General features: G+C 43.4%; 1 protein-coding gene and 1 long non-coding RNA gene across 32 annotated transcripts in view, besides 1 other annotated feature; both read left to right on the forward strand.

Moving 5' to 3' along the window:
• Window positions 1-22,324, forward strand: part of CACNA1C (calcium voltage-gated channel subunit alpha1 C) — a 727,171-nt gene that overhangs the window by 40,221 nt on the left and 664,626 nt on the right. The gene's annotated exons all lie outside the window — the stretch shown is intronic.
• Window positions 609-1,117: an enhancer, noted in NCBI's record as "OCT4-NANOG hESC enhancer chr12:2120775-2121283 (GRCh37/hg19 assembly coordinates)". NCBI's record gives its function as "activates a minimal SCP1, AML or CMV promoter by ChIP-STARR-seq in naive H9 embryonic stem cells {active_cell/tissue: H9 hESC(naive)}" and the evidence as "EXISTENCE:reporter gene assay evidence [ECO:0000049][PMID:30033119]".
• Window positions 5,671-17,839, forward strand: CACNA1C-IT1 (CACNA1C intronic transcript 1). Its single transcript, XR_001749433.2, has 3 exons — window positions 5,671-7,292; window positions 8,926-10,006; window positions 17,545-17,839. It is a non-coding gene; the product is annotated as a CACNA1C intronic transcript 1 (long non-coding RNA).

The raw sequence follows: 22,324 nt of genomic DNA on the forward strand, positions 1-22,324 counted from the left end.
ATTAGCTGGGCGTGGTGGCAGGCGTCTGTAATCCCAGCTACTCGGGAGGCTGAGGCAGGAGAATCACTTGAACCCGGGAGGCAGATGTTGCAGGGAACCAAGATTGCACCACTGCACTCCGGCCTGGGAGATAAGAGCGAAACTGAGTCTCAAAAAAAAAAAAAAAAAAAAAGAAAGGGAAAAAGGAGGAAGTAGAAACTGCAGAAGACAAATCTCTGTTTTATTCTCAGTGTACCATGGAAAGGACAATGGAAGTTGCTGGCCATGCCTCTGAAAACACAGGCAGCTCTGTGTCACATTATTGAGGAAGATGATATTGGATGTGGCTGATTTCACATACAGGAGCCTTGTCCTGGGACATGGAGGAGTGTTGAGGGTGGTCACCAGATTGCCTTTCCCATTAACTAGGTGTGCACTAGCTGATTCATTATCATAGCGCTAAGGTCATAGAGGGATGACCCGAATGATTATCTGCTTTGAGCAAAGAACCCACAGTTCTGGGCAAGTCACTTCACTTCTCTGTGTAATAAAGAGATTGAATTAGAAGAGTGCTACGCAGCTACGGATTCTGTGGTTCTCTATTAAGCTACCTCGGTTCATATCAAATGCGTATCAAATCTTTACAAACATGTAGAAAAGCCCAGAAACAATACTGAACAATATGTTTAGGGAAACATCTCACATTGAAATTAGGTCAGGAAAGCAGCCCATTAAAGACTTTTTAACGTTAAATCAAAACTAAGGGCCGAAAAGCCTTTCTTCTTCCATTTGTTGTGTTCCCTCATGCTCGAAGGAAAGCTGTTGTTGTGGGGAGAAAGGAATGTTTCCCCTTGCCATCCTGTAGGTGGCTTCCTGCCAGGGTGGATGGGCTCTCGCTGTAGATTGCTAATCCAGGTGAAATGAGTATTTCAAATCACCTGTGATGATTTGCATGGCAGTCTGTAAGAAGCAGTTGGGAAAGAGTGTCAGAGCCTCCTTGGTGGAATGCATTTGAAGAATTTTGTAATTACTTATTGTTCTTACAACCTACTATGTTACCTTTTCACCTTGTCATTGATTTTTCTCTTTTTAAACTGATGTATGAAGCCCCAAAGGTAATTGAACTGCAAAATATTGTGCTAAACTAACCTTAAGTCCAAGATGAGAGGCTTTGGAAAAATACTTGGCTTGGTCAGGAGCTAGAACTCTAATAGTGGGGACTAGGGGGTAGAGGGATGAAGGGGAGGTATAGTATCTACTTCTATAATGCTGAGATTTAAGAATATTTCCTTACCCGGTCCCTCAAGCCTATCATAAATATTCTATATTGGGTTGACAAATTACAGCTCACAGGCTAAATCTGGCCCTCTGCCTGTCGTGTAAATAAAATTTTGTTTGAACACAGCCATGCTCACTGGATTGTCTATGGCTGTTTGCACCTTGCAACAGCAGAGTTGAGTAGTTGCAACAGAGACCATGTGATCTGCAAAGCCTAAAATATTTACTATCTAGTCCTTTACAGAAAAAGGCTTTTGGCCTGTATTATTTAAACAAATCCATACGTGAGTTATACTGAGGACTCTCTACATGCTCAGTAGGCACCCAGTTTGTGCACATTGTAAATACACAATAGATTGGAAGCCCAGTTTCTATTCTCAAGGAATTTAAAATCTAGTTGAGGAGACAAAGACTAGCATACATGAAAAAATGTGAACAGTAAAATACAGTGTATAATCAAGGGTTCAGCTGTGATGTACAGGCAAGTACCAGAATTTGGAGAAAAGGAAGGAGGATCAGTGAGACCTCTAGTAGTTGGGGAAAGCAATATTTAGTATAAAAAGTTCCAGGACACAATAAGAGCTTGGATGCTCCCTTGAGATCCATTGTAATTGGATGTGACCTGTATTTCTACTCCAGTGTCATTTAAATCACTGTTATTTTTGGCCTTGTGCTTAGAGGACACCTAAATGACCAGAAATATTTCTGAGTGACTTTAGCTGACTGATTTTTCTGGGATTTGGGATTCCTTCAATCTCCCTAAACTACAGAAAATTAAACCTAGCCATAGTGGCATAATGTCTTTCTCTTTTGGAGACAATACAGCAAAATGATTGCAAGCATGAGCTCTGCAGTCAAAGAAACCCGTCTCAATCTCCCTCTAGCTGTGTAAACTTGGGGAGACTCTAAAGCTCTGGGCCTCAGTTTCTTCATCTATAAAATAGAGACAACAATAGTGGTAACCTGCTAGCGTTACTGTGACAACTAGATAATATAATGCCTGTGACGTGTTTAGAATATAAAGTGCCTGCCTGGTATGAAGCTAGGTCTCCATGAGTGTTTAGTCATTGGCCCTTGCTCCTGAGAATAGCAAGATTTATATCCTGCACAAAAGAGTCATACTTAGTTCCAGAACAAAAATTAGTACTTTATCATTTATAAAGGCACTTATAACAAAATGTACTAATGTAAAGCAAAGAATTACTGCTCCTCATTTTTTGGTTTACTAATGGTTATAATTTTTAATTTTTAACAAATTGCCATTGCCAGGCCCCTGATTTATTTCTGTGATGTCCTTGGGGATCTTGGGACCAGGAGCATGATGCAAAAAACACAGATACAGATCTCTGCTCTGATACTAATGCAGGAATCTTGGGTGTTTTCAGGACCTGTTGTGACTGTCTTTGGAGGTAAGGCAGAGGGCAGTGGTACCAGCCTTGTGGGCTGGAAGGCAGCATCTGTAGGTTCTCACCCATTTCTGTGGGTATGGAAGAAATTACGTAGAATCCAGACCAGTTTTTCTTATCTCTAATAAGGAGATAATGTTATAACATTTATTTTTGTGCTTGTTGTGAGTATTGCTGAAAGAGCTCTTAGAAACACTTTAAGTGTTTTGATGTAATCATAAAATATGAGGCTTTAGAAGTAGGGTTTGAGCATCCACAGAAGGCTCTGTTTTCTCTGTGGATAATGTCTGATGATAACATTGTTTTCTGTTTTCCTTGAGGTAATTTGAAGATTAAAGGGAAGGGTGTTTTCCACATTTCCTGTTGGTAATAAATAGCCCTCTCCCAGTGCTTTGACCTTCCCCTGCTGCTATGGAGACTCCTAGGAGCAGTGACCAGGACTGCAGCCAGCCAGGCCCGTGTTATTAACAGGGCTGGCTCCGTGGGCCTTCAGTATTAGTGTATTTATAAACAACCCCAAACACTGAAACCACTGTTTGGTTTTGTTCGCTTTTATTAAAAATTATATGGACTTTAGAAGAAAACAACAAACTGTCAGAAAAATAGGCATCTTTTTTTTTTTTAACCCAAATAAGCCTGTGTTTAGTCTATAATGGGAGAGTTCTTATAATAAGCATAGCAACTCATGGCTCAGCACTTTCCCATGGAGTAGGTAGCAAGTATTGCTTATTCGCTTATGAGATAACCTTTACATTTAATCACTTGTCCATTCAATGAATATTTATGAAGCTCTTACCATGAGACAGGCACCGGGCTAGGAGCTGGGAATATTGCAGTGAACAAGACAGGCACATTCCCTGCCTTCCTAGAACTTAGAGTCTCACGGGGAAAATGGACACATAAGCAGGTAATCAAAATAAAGTGCGTTGAGTGTGAAAAGTTTGGGATGCTATGGGAGCATGGCAGAGGCCCAAGAGAGGCTCCAGTTTCTTTACATGAATTGCCAAGTGTATCGACCTGAAGACACTGTACCTCCTGTCTTTGTGCCTAGACCAGGGTAGAATGGTCCTAAGAGTTAGAGGCTGGTCTCAGTTATTCTTGGACATAAGACTTTTCTGGTTGGCTTGAGCTTTAGGCCTTACAGAGGAGCCAGAGACTTGTCTGGGTAGTGCCATAGGTGTCATGCTAAAGCCACCTTGTCCCCACTGGCCTTGGAGCTAGTCAGACTCAGAGCCTCCCAAGAGCACTGGGAATGGGAGCAATCCCTTCCTGCTCACGGACTGGCAGGTCTTGGCCCAGGGATTCACCTATGCAAATAGTATATCCTTGAGCCACCAGTAGTTTTTACCTGCTCAGCTTTCTCCTGTTCTCCTTCTTGGAGTTTCCTTTCCCAAGAAAACAGACTGGATCTTCTGCTTCTCCAAACCCATCCCTCTGAGGCAGGGCTGAGAAGACCATGTTGCTCTATGAAAGGGCTAGTTTACCAGTCAGGGGACTCTGCTTCTGTACTCTCTCTCCCTTTACCTGGTGCCGAAAGACCATCCTCAATTAGGGCTGACAAGGGGCACCCGTTGGGCTACATTTATCCTCCTTATTCTTAAGAAGCTACAGCTTTTACTTGCTGTACAGCATCTAACAAAATAAGACTGTGTTAGCTTATCCCAGCCCCAAGTTTTCTGTAGTGGAGGCTGAAAACTTCAGGGGAAAGCTGTCTGGAGTCAGATGTGGAGAGTCTAGGAGTCCCCTGTTTGCCAGGGCCTAAGGTGGGAAGTGGAGCAAGGGCAGGGATAATTTGTAGGCATTCAAGCTAGAATTATTGCCAAGATAGGTGGCTTCAGCCACCTCTTTGTACAGAAGAGACTGAAGCACAGAGAAGTGGCTTTTGGGAGGATACAATGGCATAGAGTAGAGAGAGCCTAGGGCGAAAGTTCTCAACCCTGGCCACACTTTAAAATTGCTGGAAGGCATTTAAAAAGAAGCCCCATGGCCAGGGCTCATCCAGAGGAGTTAATAGGATTCTGAAGTTGGGCCCTGGTCAGTCTCAAAGTGATTCAAACAGCAGGCAGAATGGAGAACCACTGGACAGCCTGGTTGGCAGCCTCTGCACTTCCTGGGTTCAGATCTCTCTCAGCTAGTATGGTACTTGGGCAGTTCACCTGTCCTAGGTAAACCTCAGCTTCCTTCTCAATAAAATGAGGTTGCTAATCATATCTATTTGGTAAGATTATTTTTGAGGATTAAACAAGAAAATACAAATAAAGTACCTGGGACATATCAAGCACTTAATAAATACAAATCACTGACTTTGTTATTTGGTAATGACAGAACAGGACTAGACTTCAGGTCTCCGATTTCCAGGCAATGCTCTTTCTACCAGGAGGATTTATCAAGGCTTATAATGACCAATTCAGTGGGAAATGGGGTGCTCCATCTTTAAAATAATTACCTTTATTCAAAAAGACATGAATGACTTCATTTCTTAGTTCGGTGTCTCCTGGTTGAAATCATTCATATATTTGTTCATTTGTTTGTTCTTTGATTTGACAAACATTTCCTGAGTGTCTTATTAGGTGCCAAGTACTTATCAGGTCCCGAGTACTGTCAAACAACAGTACTCAGTACAACAAAATACATCAGTACAACAAAATAAATACAGACCCTGCCTTCCAGGAGCTTAAAGTTTAATGGAGGAGATACACTAAAACTAACTATTGTACAATGTATCAATGTATTGATTGTGACAATGGGTTTGTTTAAAACATTTTTCTTTTTCTTTTTTTTTTGAGACGAAGTTTTACTCTTGTTGCCCAGGCTGGAGTGCAATGGCACGATTTTGGCTCACTGCAACCTCCTCCTCCCGGGGTCAAGCAATTCTCCTGCCTCAGCCTCTCGAGTAGTTGGGATTACAGGTGCTGCCACCACGCCTGGCTAATTTTTTGTATTTTTAGTAGAGACAGGGTTTCACCATGTTGGCCAGGCTGGTCTCAAACTCCTGATCTCAGGTGATCCGCTCCTCTCAGCCTCCCAAAGTGCTGAGATTACAGGCGTGAGCCACCATGCCCATCTGTTTAAAACATTTCTGAGAACAGTACCTGATCTACCAGGCAATCTGGGTCACCAAAATCCTAATATAGTTTTGGTATTACCTAAGGTGCCAGACACTGGCTTTACCCACAGACATTCTGATTTAATTGATGTAGGACGTGGCCTGGGCATTGAGTTTCTTTAAAGCTCCCAGGTAATTATAATGTGCCTCCAAGTTTGGGAAGCACTGGTTTAGAAGCTTCCTGTTCCTTAAGGATATAGCCAACTCTGGAAAAACAGGCTGGCGCTGGGTGGTTAGGAGTCTTCTGGGACCACGTTTGGACTTTGGGAATTTGGAGTTTATTCTCTAGGCAATGAAGTACAATGAAAAGTCTTTAAAAGGGGAAGTGACATCAAAGTTTCAGAAAGGTAATTCTGGCTACAATTTAGAAAATTGGAAAGGCTGGACACAGGGTAATTGTTAGGAGGAAGAGATGACACCGAGGGCCTACATGAGACTGGGATGGTGGCACTCTGATGCTAGGTAGCAGCGGAAACCCTGGCACACGGGTGGAAAAAGAGTAAGCAACTAAAAATGTTCTGCTTCTGCTGGTTTTCAGCTTTGAAATTTAATTGTGGCCTCGTTAGTAATCATATAAAGAATTCCGTTAGTACTTTTTAGCTTGGCTGTAAATGGGGACAGCCCCTTCAAGAACGCTCAAGCATTTATGGGTTTCAGAATGATACAAGATAACTGATCACCCTTAAAAAATAAAAGAACTCAGTTAGCTTTTACAGCTACCCAGTTAATTTTGGTAATGTAGATCATTAAGCTTCCAGATAGAGTTTTTCACAGGGAGTGAGGGGAGAAGAGATGGTCTGGCTACTTAGGATCCAATTACCTGGATAATTGCCAGATACCCACTAAACATGGTGATGTAAGCATGGTTTCAGTCAATGTATCTTTTTTCTGTTTTTTTTTTTTCTGACCTAATGCCTCTACTGATAAAAATATTTTTACTATTATTGGTTCTGTGGAACTAGTATGACTGTGATAGTGAGAGGACTGCATTCCATTTGCCTTGTGCTCCATCAGAGTCAGCTGTCGGTGTGTCCTCATGCCAGACTCATTGTAATTAGGAAGGAGACAGAAGAGGCAAGAAGAGCCCAGCGGGAGGCTCCCATTTTGGCTTGAAGGCAGTAGCACCACAAATTAGAAAAACCATTGCTTGCCTTCTACACGGACTCAACACAATACTATTGTGTCTACCAATGGGAGGTTCTGAATATTTTTTTAAAACCTTTGAAAACATAAAAACCATTCTTAGCTCAAGGGACACAGGAAAACAGGCCACAGGCCAGAGGTTGCAGACGCGTGGTCTAAACAATTAACAGAACAATAAATCAAGCCCGGATATGTCACATTTGCTGACCTCCCTGTTGTAAATACTCTCACAATGACTTGATTCGAGAATGTCCACGTAAACACTGCTGCGAGGGGAGCTAGGGAGAGTTGAGCAGTGGTTTACCGTGGTGTGCTCTTTCCACCACGCGGATAGCATAGGCTGACATGTATGATAAGCAACCTTGAGAGCAAAGGGAATGGTAAAATGTGGTAAAATAATTAGGAAGGAAGGAGTTTTTGAGTATTTATTCTCTTTGTTTCTAATATAATTTATTTAGTTGTAAGTTCACATAATTCGGTTTTTATACTGGCCATGTTGAACAATCGGCTGGCAAAATTTCTGAAAATTTAACAATATTCTCTCACAAACTAGTACAAGCTGGCTCCAGTACACCACGGCTGGAGAGGGGAAGCTAGAATGTTGAGAGGCAGTCAGGATGAAAGCAACAGAGCAAGGAAAGCTGAAGTTTATGGCTGTGGACGAGCGCTTCCTCCATCAGCTGAGATGGAGCCATGCGTGGGCGTTGCACAGGGCAGCAGCCAATGATGGGACGGAGCTCATTCAGGCCCTCTGTCTTAATAAGCACAACTCAACTAATTTGGGAAGAAAACTCAGTTCAGTTGGCCAGTACCTGGCAGGGACAGGTAGCTTGACTTAATATATAGTAAATCTAATTATAAAAATATAGTACTGTGCTCAAAATTTACATGTGAGTAGAATGATCGTGATGAAACAGAAGACAGAACTTTTCCCTTACGATAACATTGGATTTTCTTTCCTAACCTAGCTCTCCTACAAACATGCAAATAAACTGAACCAGCTAAAGAAGTGGTCCCAAGGTTTTAATAAAAAAAACATTTAACCCTTCCCTAAATATTATCTAATGAGGGAGCAAAATGTGTCACTCTCCCTTAACAGATGGGATTCTCATGGCTGCTGTTAAAGGGGAAAAAGGAGAAACCAAACTGGGTGACTCTCTGAGTTACATCTTTGGCTCTGAACTCGGTGAGTCTATGGTTTGATAGGTTGGCAGGGCAAAGGGAAAAACAGAGTTGGAGCTGACTGAGGATTAGAAATGGAATCTGGGGCTGGGTACAGTGGCTCACACCTGTAATCCTGACCCTTTGGGAGGTTGAGGTGGGAGGATCATTTGAGCCCAGAAGTTCAAGACCAGCCTGGGCAACATAGTGAGATCCCATCACTACAAAAAATTTTTAAAAAGTAGCTGGGTGTTGTGGCACGTGCCTGTAGTCCCAGCCACTCAGGAGGCTGAGGCAGATCACTTGAGCCCAGGAGTGCAAGGCTGCAGTGAGCAATGATTACGCCACTGCACTCTAGCCTAGGCCACAAAGCAAGACCCTGTATCTAAAATAAACATAACAAAGAAAGAAAAGAAAGGGAGGGAGGGAGGGAGGGAGGAAGGAAGGAAGGAAGGAAAAGAAAGGAAGGAAGGAAAGAAGGAAGGAAGGAAGGAAAGAAAAGAAAGAGAGAGAGAAAGAAAGAGAAGGAAAGAAAGAAGAAAGAAAAAGAAAGAAAGAAAAAGAAAATCTAGATGGCTTCTAATGTAACATGGTATTTTTGTGAGAGGATACTGTTAACTATAGCAATCATTTGATTTGCTCACAGATTGATTTAGTTTTTAGTGTCCATAATATGTTAAGTATTTTTAAATATGAAATATGTACCTACATGTATTTAATATTTACCACTTAATTGAATCCTGAAGATATCAGTGGTAGATGGTTTATGTTTCTGTTTATTTCTCATGTTTTTAAACTTTCTGCAGGGAGGAACCATTTGTTAAATTTCTTTTTATGTTTCTTACTATGCAGCATTGCACCATGAATATGGAGAGTGAGCTTTAAAATAGTATGAAAGACAAATGTTTAAAGGTATACATTTCTTTCAGAGAACTTTTTCTCTCTCTTTCTCTCTCTGACAGTGTGTGTGTATCTCCTGTGTCTCTCTTTCCCTCTCTCACATGCACACATAAGTGCACACACACACTTCTCTTGGAAACTGAAGGAGGCAAGAATATGATGCCATTAACAAATGCTCTTTGGTGGACAGCAATAATAACAACTGCTAACTTTCACTGAGGACTACTTATGTGCCAGATACCATGTGAAGCGCTTTGCTTGTATTAGATCATCGAAACCTCAGAAAAACTCTATAAAGTGGGTGCTAATATTTTCTAGATTTTTCAGATACAATACTGAGGATCAGGGAGATTGAATAAGTTGTCCAGTGTCACCCCTGGTAGCTGAGAGAGCTGGTTTGGATGCCTAGGGCTGTTTGTCTCCAAACCTGTGCCTTGCACCCTTAGCTCTGGTTCCTCCCCTCTCATGTCATGTAATCAGCACAAATTTCCTGAAGTAAGGCTGCATGCATATAACAAGAATAAAGGAATAAAAATAGAGGATGCCGTGGAATGGGAGAAAGTGGACTACTTACGGCAGCAGAGGAGACAGTAGGAAAGGAGAACTCTAGATGCTGTAAAGCTTCCTGGGACTATAAGTACACTTGGCTACAACAAAATGGTTGAGCAGGAAAGAAGGGAAGACAGAAGGGCTGATTTGGTGGAGGGCCATGGGAGGAATAAAATTAGACATCATAGCTACAGAATAGAAGCACTGAAATTGCACCAAATCCATAGACTCTCAGGAGTGGAGGAGATTTGAACGCCATCTGCCTAATACATAAATTTGCTCTGCATCTTGACAAGGTGGTGGTTCAGCCTCCTTGAATGCCCTTGGCCATGAAGAACTCATTAGCTCCTCTCAACAGATGGTGAATTAGAAAGTTCTTCCCTGTATGGAACCCATATTTGCCTACCAGTAACTTCTGCTCAGTGGCCAGGAACTGACTTCTTGGGGCCATACATGAAAAGTCTTTCATAGAATAGTTTCCAGGGTAAGTAGGAAAATATCTACACGTCAACTATTTTTCCCTAATGGTAAAATTATTTCTGGATACTGCGTTCACAAATGCTTCCTAATCACTAATTATCACTCAGTACATTTCTTAATCAACTGCCTTTTTGCTAGGTAATAATAATAGTTGATAATAACCAACTGCAAATAGCTTTGCATAGATCATTTTTTATGTTGTCATTTTTATCTTACAGTTGAGGAAGCTGAGGCTCAGAGAGCTTAAATAACTTGCTCAGGGTCACCTACACTATAGGCAGAGCAGTCAGAATTTGCTACAGGTAATTTAAACACAGAGATAGAGCACTATAGTCAATTTGGTGCTGCTATACCAGAAACCCGAGACTGGGTAATTTATAAAGACACTCATTTTTGCCGGGCACTATGGCTCACACCTGTAATCCCAGCACTTTGGGGGGCTGAGGTGGGTGGATCACCTGAGGTCAGGAGTTTGAGACCAGCCTGGCCAACATGGTGAAACCCCGTCTCTACTAAAAATACTAAAAATAAGCAGGGCGTAGTGGTAGGCACCTGTAATTCCAGCTACTCAGGAGGCTGAGACAGGAGAATCGCTTGAACCCGGGAGGTGGAGGTTGCAGTGAGCTGAGATCACACCATTGCACTCCAGCCTGGGCAACAAGAGAGAAACTCCATCTAAAAAAAAAAAGACATCTTTTCTCTCACAGTTCTGGAGGCTGGGAAGTCCAAGATCTAGGCGCCAGCATCTGGTGAAGGCTTTCTTACTGCTTCTCACATGGCAGAAGGCAAGAGAGAGATATGCAAGTCCTTTTCATGGTGGTGTTAATCCACTCATGAGAGTAAAGCCTTTGCAAGCTAAACACCTCTAAAAGGCTCCACCTCCCAACATTATTGCATTGGGGGTTAAGTTTCCAACACATACGTTTCGGGGGACACAGTCAGACTATCGCAAGTACAGCAGGTCTTTGAATACATTTATTGTGTTCAACACCTTTTCATTATGACATTGATGGGAAGAAAAAATGGATTCCCAGCCAGGGCCACTGTCTAGGTGGAGTTGGCAAGTTCTCCCCACATCTGTATGGGTTTTCTTAGCCTTTCCTGTTTCCTCCCACATCCCAAAGCTGTGCACTTAGGTGAACTGCTGTATTGACAGGGTCCCAGCATGAGTGAGCGTGGGTGTGTGTGCGAGTGCTCTATGTGATGGAATGGCCTCCTGTCCAGGATTGGATCCTGCTGTGCACACTGAGCTGCCAGGACAGGCTCTGGCCACCTGAGTTCAGGGGAACCGGAATACTTGGGTAAATAATTATCTCATTTCTGTAATCTTTCTTAAATGTATGTATAGCTCACATTTGTTTCAATGTTTAGTATTAGAAGTGTTTTGGTCTTTATTTAGAAATTTGGGGTTTTGTTTTGGTTTGGTAATGTTTTTGTGACCAGAAAGATGCCCTAAGGAACTTTTTTTTTTTTTTTTTGAGACAGAGTCTCACCCTCGGGGGAGTGCAGTGGCACAGTCATAACTTGGACCTCTGGGTCCAAGTGGTCCTCCTGCCTCAGCCTCCTGAGTAGCTGGGACTACAGGTGCATGTGACTACACCCAGCTAATTTTTGTATTTTTTGTAGAGAAGGGGGTCTCTCTATGTTGTCCAGTCTGGTCTCAAACTCCTGGGCTCAAATGATCCTCCCGCCTCAGCCTCCCAAAGTGTTGAGATTACAGGCATGAGCCACGTCACCCAGCCTTAACTCTTGTTCGTATCCATTAGCCTACGGTAAAATGGGTTTTGTTATACCAATTTTGTAATACCCTTATATCATCATTTCACTTAAAGTGACAATTCCTGAGAACCTATCAGTGGCATTAAGTGAAGACTTATTGTACTTAAATAAATCATTCATTCCACCTGGTATAAAAAGAGAATGCTGTGGAAGGTAGAGTCTACCCAGGTTTAGCTTTGAGAACGTGCAGCTTGTACAGTCTCCCACTGAGAAGGGCTCTGAGCCTGGTTTTATACTCTGCTGTCACAGCCTTGAAATTCTTAATAAGTTTTGAACAGGGAGCCCTGTATTTTCATTCTGCACTGAGCCCCCCAAATTATTAACTTGTTCTGGGTCTGCCATTAAAAACGAAAGAAAACAGTCAAGCTGACAAATAGAACACCTGCTTTGGTGGTGGTGCATCGAGTGTTCTGTCGTTCTGTAGGTTCATATGTTGGAGTGAACTTTAGAACCCATTCTCTATTCTGTGGCTTCTGGTCTTACTGCCCTGGACAGCCTCAGTGGTCAGGGATGGAGTGTAGGGTGTGGAGAGTGGCTTCCTTTCTTGTATATTTAATGCCATGCGTGGAGAAGGGCTGAGTTCTGGCAGGAATGCTTTTACATTTTTGGCTTTTATCACTTTCTACTCCTCAGACACTGTGTCTCCTGTCACAGGAAATTTATGGGTACATTTTAGTAGTTGACAGGAACAACGAGCCTCCAGGATTTCCCCAGGAGAAGCTTCCACCTGCCGAGTGAGAACTTCCTCCTATTGGCTAATGTGGAAGCTCTGGGCTCTCCTCATTATTTCCTCAGCCTGTCATAAATGCCAGGAATGCAGGTTTCACAAAAGCAGGCAGAGGTGCGCTGTTAGTAACTGTTCCAGGACAAGTCATTTGGGAGAGGTACTTACTGTGCTTCTTGGATGTCTGCTTCCAGTCATCTTAGTAAGTCCAGTTTGACAAAAATGTGCCTTTCTAAGTAAATGCAGCTCACAGCTTATGGTTGCCAATGAAAAATAAAAAGGACAGATGTAACATGGAAGAATGCATAGCTACCCAACACCTTCTTCAGAACACCAGGGCCTGATATTATGTTTTGCTGCTTAATAGACTTCATTCAGATTATGAATGCCTTCAAAGTGGCAGTAAGATATCTTGAAAAGAGCACTGCACCGGGAGTCAGGAAACCTGGGTTTCCACCTAGTTTAATCTTCCCAGATTAAGGGGAGGAGTTGAATTAGGCAATAGCTAAGCCCTGCACTTAGTACCCAGTGCAGACATTGTAGGAGGCTCCCTCTTTTGGGAATTGACAGATGTTGAGCTTGGGTTTCCTTCTCTTGGCTCAAAGTGAACAGGCTTTTAATCAATCCAGAGATATTTACCTAGATCTTTTCATTTACTGCACTGCAAGCCCTGTGGCAGAATGATATACAGGAAAACCTGAGGCTCATTATGAGAAAATTGCATAAGGGGCTTCTCTCCTGACTTCCACGTATGGCCCAGGAATCTTGGTTCTGACTGTCAGGCCAGCTCCACCTGGGCCAGGTATTTATAGATGACATCCTTAGATGGGGAACACAGAGCTAGCTGCTATAATAGAAACCCAAAATAACAGTGAATTTAAGGGGGGTAGACATTTATTTCTCTCTCAAGCAATCCAGGGTGTCTCCATGTCAGACTCCCAGGCCCCTTCTGTGTTGTTGCTCCTGCCCACCTAGAGTGTTGCCCTCCCTGCATGGCCCATGATGGCTTCCCACTGTGTTCACAGTCCAGGCAGCAGGATGGAAGAAGGGGAGTCAAAGCCAGGTTGCACCCATCTCTTTTCCCTCTCAGCCCAACAACCAGAACTCAGTCCACTGAAAGGTAGGAAATGCAGTCTTTGTTCTGGGCAGCCATGTGGGAGAGTGGATACTGGCAGACAAGTAGCAGGTTCTGACATGTGGCCTGTGTCTTGGGATTTGATTAAGATGAACCAAAGGGCCTGTTGAGAGCATCTGCACTCTGACCTGTCAGGAGATCTCTATACACTGTAGGCCACGAACTTATATGCAACAAACCACGAAGACCAAAGCAGGCTGTGGCACCAATCACCCATCCCTCCTCCAAGGAGCTGGTGCAGACCCTCAGCTGGTGTGGCCATGGCTGTGGTCTCTGTGCTAGTCCAGTCTGGGTCTTCTCTGACTATCCTGCACTGTTCTTGTTTGGATTGCTCTGGAGTGCCAACTTTTCTTCACAGTTCTTCTGATTAGGTACTAAACTTCATTTATGCATTTGTCACAGTGGAGGCTCCAGGCACTTATTTCTGGGGAAGGCAGGCTTAGCCTTCCCCACGGCCTCTGCAAAGTGCTGCTCTCAGTTCCCTTACCCTGCGTTCTCTGTCTCTTTGTGCAATTCTGTGGTCGTAGTGAAGGCGAGGGGGCCCCTTCTAGTGGGAAGGGTCACTTCCAACTTAGATTCAGACTGGAAAGATGACCTCCAGCTGTGCAGAGACATGTTCCATGGTTCTGCGTTCCACAGAACATCTGGAAGAGCTGATTCCAAGCGGTGGTGTCTCAGCACAGCTGGGGCAGTGCTGTCTGCCCCCTGCCATGGTTGACATCCATTAGGTGAGTACCCTGGGTGTTGTGGTGTGTGTTAGAGACTCTAGAGGTGAATGTGGTGGTCACCTTTTCCCGTTCCAGCTCTGCACTCTCTGCAGAGTTGAGGGCCAGACACCTTCTTGTTGAGGACTTAGTTTACTCTAAGCCTCCAAAATGGTTCTGGGCCCATTTTACTTTTAGCCTCCCAACACAGTTTGGGCCGTCCTGTTTTCCTTTATTCTCTCACATCTCAGCCTCCCAAAATGCTGTTCCATCTTCTGTCTTCTGACTCAAATCCTCTTCATCCTTTGAAGACTCCAATAACTCCTCTTGGAGAAGCTTTCACCTAAAATACCAGCCTTGGGATTTTTATTACCTTGTCAATTCTCCCCAAATTTCTTTCACTGGCCGAGCAGAGCCATTACCAATCTCTATTGTTCAGTATTTAACTTCACATATTTTTGTCCTCTTCTCAGGTTTTAAACTCCTGACTTGTTTTATTCATGCATTTATCAGTTATTTACTAGGATTTGCTAGGCACAGAGCAGACAAAGACAAATAATTCCCCTGTGTAGCACTTCGCTAGGGTAACCAAGGGGGGAAGACATTTACTGGAAACAATAACAGAACAAATTATTACCTTACTAGTAGACATATGTGCAAAAGCCTTTGAAAGACCAGAAGAAAGCCAACTGCCTGGCAATGTCGGAAAGTTTCATGGGGGAGCTGGCATTCTTATTGGCCTATTCAGTGGTGGATGGATGGAAACAGTTGCTGGCTGGAAGAAGTATGAGTATAAATGATCAACAATTTGAAGAAGGTGAGAGTTGGAGGTCTATTTATTTGGGTGGGAGAAAAGGATACAAAAGAGAAGGATGGATGAATAGAAGATAAAGCTGAAAAGCTGAGTTGGGCAAGATGGGCAAGTACTTATTGGCTCTGCTAAAGCTTTTGGATTTTCCTGTTGGTAACGGGGAGCCTTGAAAATTCTTCGGGAGGGAAGGTGGATGGTCCCATCTGTGTATTAGAATGATGAGGTTGGATTTGGAGGGAAAAATTGATTGGGGTTGAGGAGTGAGCCTCAAGTCAGATGGATCAGTTAGATACAAATTTCTGCCAGACAATGACACCAGCAAAGGTGAGAGGTGAGGAGAGCTCTGAATTATTAGCAGTGGCAATGGGTAGGAATGAATGAAGGGAACACATTTAAGAGACACTGAAAATGAGTAATTGGATGCGTGGGAAGTTGCAGATGCTGGAAGACTTCACTCTGTATAAGGCAATGTCTTTTTTTATTCAATAAATATTGGCTTTTTTACACTGTGTACAAATGGTGTATGCTTTTCTGAACATTTGGGTTTTGACACAAACTTGTAAGACTGAAACCATGTGAATATTCTTCTTAAAAAATGGATTGTAAAGATTTCATGTGAGAGTTTACTGTGTACAAGACTTTGCAGTGTTGATTTTCAGTCTAGCTGGTGGTCAGATTCTTTTCTTATGAAGTACTATTGGGGAAATTTTGAGGAGTACACAGTATACATTCTTGGAGTACAAAATCAAAATGTGTACCCTGTTATGTTTTAAAAGAACTAAAACTACAAAACGATGCTTTTCCTTCAGGTTTTGTGGGTTGAAAAAAAAGTTAGTGGAGAAATAGCTTTCTAATTCTTTCTTGCCATTTCCCAAAGAAAGATACTGTGATATTTCATTAAATTAAAATGGTTATTTTTTTGTTTATTGTCATCAGGCTAGTAAGCCAGATGATGCTGGGGAGCAGGGGTGTAAAGAAAAGGAAAATGTTTCCTGGTTTAAACTCTCTTCCAGTGCTAAACAAGTGCTTTGCCCTTTGGGTGGCATATACCACCCAAATGGCAGAGCAAGGGGGTTTAGGAGAATGTCTTTTCCTTTTTGCCTGGTGTTGCCCATAACTACATAATTGTTTCTTGGTTAATTGGTTCAGATGCTACATTGTTTCCAAAGGAGATCAATCTTTCTTCTCTCCATCTCTCTCCTTCTGTCTTCCCCCCATTTGTTAAGCTCCTTTGCTTTAATGCTTAAATGCTTAACAGTCTTATCTGCTGATCCCCGCAGCTCCTAGATACTGAAAATAAATTATCTTTATGCTGCGGCTGCTATTAATATATTCCTGTTTGTCTTGGCCTCTGAGTTATGGGGAGCTGTCTGCCTTGAACACTGCATCATAACAATTGTATAACCTCTTCCAAGCACTGCAGCAAACTTAAATTTATAAATGCCTATGAAGTGAGAGGAGAGAATGGAATTGACTTGAGCGTGGGCATTTAAAGCGGAAAGTCCCTTCCCTGGAGGCTCACTCTGATCTTTCCAGAGTGAGCATGAGGGACTCACTCTCTCCCTGACACTTTTTGTCCAATTATTCATTGACCAAGCTTAATGATGGGGACCAGAGGAAATATCAGTATGAAGTTTTATGAAGAATTAAGTAGTACTACTTTGATCAATGTAAAACTCTAATAAATAACCCAGCTTAGTAATTGTAGAGCTATTTAGAGAAAACACACAGATTGAGAATTGAGCAGCTTGTCTCCCAAGAGGGGCCCACTGGGCTGGTAGCATCTAGCAGTTAAGAGGGGGCTGTGTTTAGGTTTTGGACATCCTTATCCGTCCTTGGTATGATCCCCTCATGCTTCATACCTGAAACCTTCGCCTCCTCTGCACAAAGCCATCAATCCAAACAAATGTTTTTGAGCAAAGTGAGCAGAATATTATAAGTTTTCCCACAGTGTTAAAGAATGCCTAAGGATGCAGTATTTGAATTTAAGGTTTTTAGGTTTTATTTTCAAAAGAAACTTTAGAGGTTTTCAAATTGTATTCCACAGAGTTACAAGGGTTCCAAGACAGTGTCTCAGGAGCTGCTTGGGGCATGGAGAGCGGGTCTGCATCCTCCCTCCCCCATCTTGAGCCAGAACAACCCCATGCTTGTGTATTGGGTTTCTAAGTGAGGCTTAATCTGAAGACAGTTACATTGATTAAATCATTGGAAAACTATTGATCTAGTCCAACTTCTCATTTTATAGAGGAGGATGCTGAGGGCCAGAGAGTTTTATAATCTGCTCAAAGTCACAATACCAGTGACCAAGATGGATCTAGAATACAGATCTTCTATCAGTCCAATGTTCTTTTATTATCCTATTTACTATTGAATTCCTCCTTTTATCCAGGACAAGCATGGTCCTATCAGCACCAACGTTAGAACTAAAATAAAATACAAAATAAAATGGATCCTGTCTATGGAGAGGCTGTGACACAGAGAGGTTAAGCACGTAGACTCTGGACCTAGACTTCCTGGGATCAAATCTCTACTCCACCGAGTATTTCCTGTATGATGCAGGGAATATTTCTGTATGATGCAGGGAACCTTGTATAAGTTACTTACCTTCCTGTAGCTCTGTTTTCTCGATTGTAAAAGGCTGTGATGATGATGAAATAAACCAGTGCATATACAAATACTGAGAACAGTGTGTGGCAAGTAGTGAATAATAAACATTAGTTTTTATTTAAAAGTTGGAATCATCAGTCTTTCTCTAAGTTTCCGTTAGATACTCTGTAGTGTGTCAGTCCTTCTGCCTTCTGTGTTTGGCGCTGAGGATGACCGTGGTCATGGATGTGTGTTCTCTCATGTCTGTTAAAACCGTTCTCCCAGAGGTAGGAGGAGTAATAGGATCATAGACCATTTGGACTGGAGGCATGTCTTATGTTACAAGTACCTGAGTGAGAACTGAGGCCCCATGAGTGGAAATGACTTGCTCAGTAATCTTAAGGGGCTTTTTCCAAAAGGGCAGGGGGCAGGGAAGGAGAGACTCCTGACACAGTCCTGGGAACCTGCATTCTATCGGAAAGCCAGTTGTCATTCGTGGGGCCAATATGTTGATGCTGCATTTATAAATTTTTAAAAATTGAGGTGTGATTCATTTCACATAAAATTAACCTGTGTACAATGTGAAATCCAGAGCTATGTAACACATCCGCAATATACACCATCACCACTAACTTTTTCATTAGTCCCGAAGGAAACCCTGTACCCATTAAGAAGACACTCCCTATTCCCGCCTCACCCAGGGCCCTGGCAGCCACCGCTCTGCTTTCTGTCTCCGTGGATTTACCTATTCTGTATTTTTCACAGAAATGGAATCATGCACTAGGTGAACTTTAGTGTCTGGCTTCTTTCACTTAGCATAATGTTTTCGAGGTTCATCCACATTGTAGCATAAATCAATATTTCATTCCTTTTTATGGCTTTTACGTTGCACTTTGGTTAAAGAATTTTGTTGCCTTTGTCTCTCACCACTCCCGAAGTGAGGCTAACTGACTGTGACACAGTTTTCTGTTTCTTTCCACCCCACAACTTGGTCATTAGTAAGGGGCTAACACTGTGGTTCTATTATTTACAGAAAACTTGTTTCTGGTTTCTCGGGTCAGGAGACCAACAGCAGAGAAAGTCTAGCTGCTGCTATGCTGGTGGGACCTGCTCTGTTAGGTTCCCTGCCTGTCACTGCTCTTGTGCCCAGGTGTTTGTGAGGGCATGAAGAAGGAAGGGACTTCAAGGGCTGGGCGATTTGGCCCCACCATGATACCTGGGTGTTGCACAGAGCCCACATGGCAGTGGAGAGGCTATCTCTTATCAGCACCTTTGCTGTCAGCTTCTTGTCACAACCTCAAGCCTGACAGGGGAACCACACTGATAGGTGGGCCCTCTGGGTCTTGGCAACAATGTCATAACGCGGATTACCAGAGCAATATGTCACAGTGTCATTTTGCAATGTTGAGGTGTTCCATTTGTTAATGAGGTGAATTTCTTGTCTATAAACATGAACATCTGAACTGTAGAGGAGAGATTAAAAAAATAAAATCACCATATTAATCAGGCCCAATAATTCCTTTTTTAAGCTTGGATCCAATGCTGAGGAATCTCTGGCATCCTTCCTTGGAATCAATTACAGTCAATTTCTTCACATTTTACATCAGTTAAAGGAACATTGTCAAGATAAAATCTTGCCCAACATAGTTTTTTTTTTTGTTTTAATTTCCTTACTCTCATAAACCAAGACCTTCTTAGGTTACTTTGCCAATAATGAATTTTTAGAGCCAAATCCCTGGTTTGTCTTTATTTGGGCTGTGCTGAGGAAGTAGCATCTTCCTTCCCCTTGGTTCACATGTTGCAGTGGGCTGCTCCACGGCTCTCAGATGTGCCCTTGGGGCTGCATTTTGTCCACACAGGGGCCTGTGTTCTAGTTCCTTAGGTGCGTGTGAAGTTGTGTCTGCCTTGCTGATGGGGTTATTTGTGCTAATCTTTCTGGAGCCCGGGCACAGGCCACAGCAGGGCAGAGATGCCTGGAAGGGGTCAGGACTGGGTGCCAGCATCCTCTTGGGCCGTAAAGTTAGGCAGGCATGAGGCCACATTCCACAGGCCTGAAGGAGCAGGGAGCTTGGGCTCAGGGAACTTAGTTGAGGCAGAAAGGCTCAAAAGTCACCTGAGGTGAGGCAGGTGGAAGCTGGAGACCCAGCAACAAGTTGGGAACATTACCCATGAGTTTAGTTCATAAGACAGAGGCAAGCTTTGTCCTGACATCTTTGCCTTCTCCTTTGTCCTATGTTAGGCAAGAACTCACAGGTGTGTGCTGCTAGAAGGCAAGACAGGTCTCTACAGGTTCAACTTACCCATAATTAAGGATGGACAGCAGCCTAGACCTCTCAGTGGTTTCCTAATGTGAGTTGCTGACAATAGATTTTGTTCTTTTGTAGTAAAGGCACCCAGAGACTTGCTGCCTAAGTGCCCATGGGCATCCTTGGTTCTTGCCTACCAGGCAGACCCTCTCCTCCTCATCCGAATTGGAGGGTCCAATCACTCTCTTGGGGGTCCAACCTGGATTTTGTCTTTCTCAGCATTGTGGTCTCAGTACGGAGAAACCAAAACTCGTGGCACTCAAGAGCTTGTTCACTCTTCTCTTCTCCAAACCCTCTGGTGTCCAAGTGAGTTTGGACTAAGTGGGAGGCCAGATTCATTGGCACACAAGTGGCAGCACGGTGAATGGGGGGCTGTGCTGTGTTCTTCAGGCTCAACCTTCCAGAAGACAATGCGTGCCTGTCTCCTCTGCTGCATTCCTTGTCCCATGTCTTTTGTTTGAACAAAAGAGGATTGGATAATGAGTTTCTTTTTTATTTCCATCCTTATTTTCTATGGACATGAAGCTTGAAAGCCAGTCTCCTTGGGTCTCTATCTCTCTACCTATCCTACTACCCCTTACCTTAGAGTAAAGGTTCTGAATGTAAAATAAAGTTATTGGGGAGATTTTAAAATTCTGATGCCCAGGCTGTATCCCAAATCAAATTCATGGTTGGATTTTACTATACAGTAAGGAATGCTTTGATACCATTTTGAATGTAGATGGCTCAGTGGCTTTCTTTGGCTTTCTCCAAGTCCTGCTCAATCCTCCTGAGATGCCCCGAGAATACTGGCCTCCTGAGCAACAGTGGCAGGATCTCAGGAGAGAGAGGGCAGCTGTGGGCTGTGTCTTTTCATGAGTATGCAATAGTCACCTTTGTTTATTATTTCCCCACCCTGGAGACAAATGTGTTGCTCTTTCTGTGTGAGTGTGTGTGTGAGTGTGTTTGTGTGTGTGTGTGTGTGTGTCTGTGTGTATGTGTTTGGAAGGGGTAAGAGCAGTGTAACCACAGCTCCCATCCCCATGCTGCAAGGTAGAGGGAGGAGGGGTGGCTCACACGTGAGTGGGAGCACGGCTTGCGGCAGTCTCGGTAACCGGAGGGGGCGGGCATGCTCTAAGGGAGCAACTTGGAGGAGTTCCTGTGGTCCCAAACACCCATCCATCTCTGCTTGAGTTCCTTCCCAGTTTTAGGTGTCATATGAGTGCTTATATCAGTATAACTCACATCAGCCTTAGTGCCATGGACAGTCCCTAAAGTGAACATCAATTTCTCTGTCACCTGCCGTATTTTGGGTGTACCCTAGGGGCACTTAGCACACCCGGCCAGGAGGCTCAAGCCCATGCCTGTGGATGGCACACATAGAGAATGGACTCTGTTGCTCTTGAAAAGGATTGTTAAAAAATCAAGTTAGCATCTTGTTTGTCAACGTTAAGACAGTTGATGTTTCAGAATAATTGACAAGCATGGAAATCCACTGGAAACAGGAATGTTATTAGGGCCACTGTGTTTGTGAGTGTTCGGATGTGAATTAAACCAATCCATTACACTTGTTTGATGTTCATTGGGGCTGCAATATTTTTATGCAGAACCCGTGAAAGGAGACACAGTTCAGTGGTGTTTATGAGTGACCTTGTCTTGTCCTCTGAATTATGGACAGGCAGCTCAGAACATCAGCAGCTGGAGCTAACAACTGTGCTGTGTTTTCTTCATATTCCGTATTCCTGAGATGCTGCTGCCATCTCGGGCTTAGATTTTGCAGTAGAGAACATGAATGCGGCTTTTCAAATCAGAAATATTTATAGAACGAGGTCCTGATTTAACAACGCTGAAGCGCTGGTCCTGGAAATAATAACACAAGTCAGGAAAGAGAACCTCTCTCCCTATAAAACATCCCTCCAGTGCTTGCTTTCGAGGGGACTTCTTTGTGAAAAATTAATGTTTCCCAGTTTGATCAGAAGGGTTTTAAACTGAAGGTAGGGGGTGGTGGAGTAAAATGCCAGGTGAGCCTATGACACTGACAGGCAGTGCCTGGTTAGGTGCAGTGATGTAGCTAACCCACCCTGGGGGAGTTCCGCTGGCCATTCCACTTCCAGAGGGGAGGTGCTTGATTCTCCATTCCTTGACGTACAAGGAACCCTGAGGAAGGTGTGGACAGGATGTCCCAGAACAAGTGAAGCCAGTCTCTGTGTCCAGCTGGGTCCTCTTTCTGGCCCTGACACAGATGCCCCCATGATGCCCGCCCTCTGCAGGCTCAAGTCCGCCCATGTGCTCGGCCAC

Source organism: Homo sapiens, chromosome 12 (genome assembly GCF_000001405.40).
Source record: "Homo sapiens chromosome 12, GRCh38.p14 Primary Assembly".
In the NCBI taxonomy this organism is placed as follows: domain Eukaryota; kingdom Metazoa; phylum Chordata; class Mammalia; order Primates; family Hominidae; genus Homo; species Homo sapiens.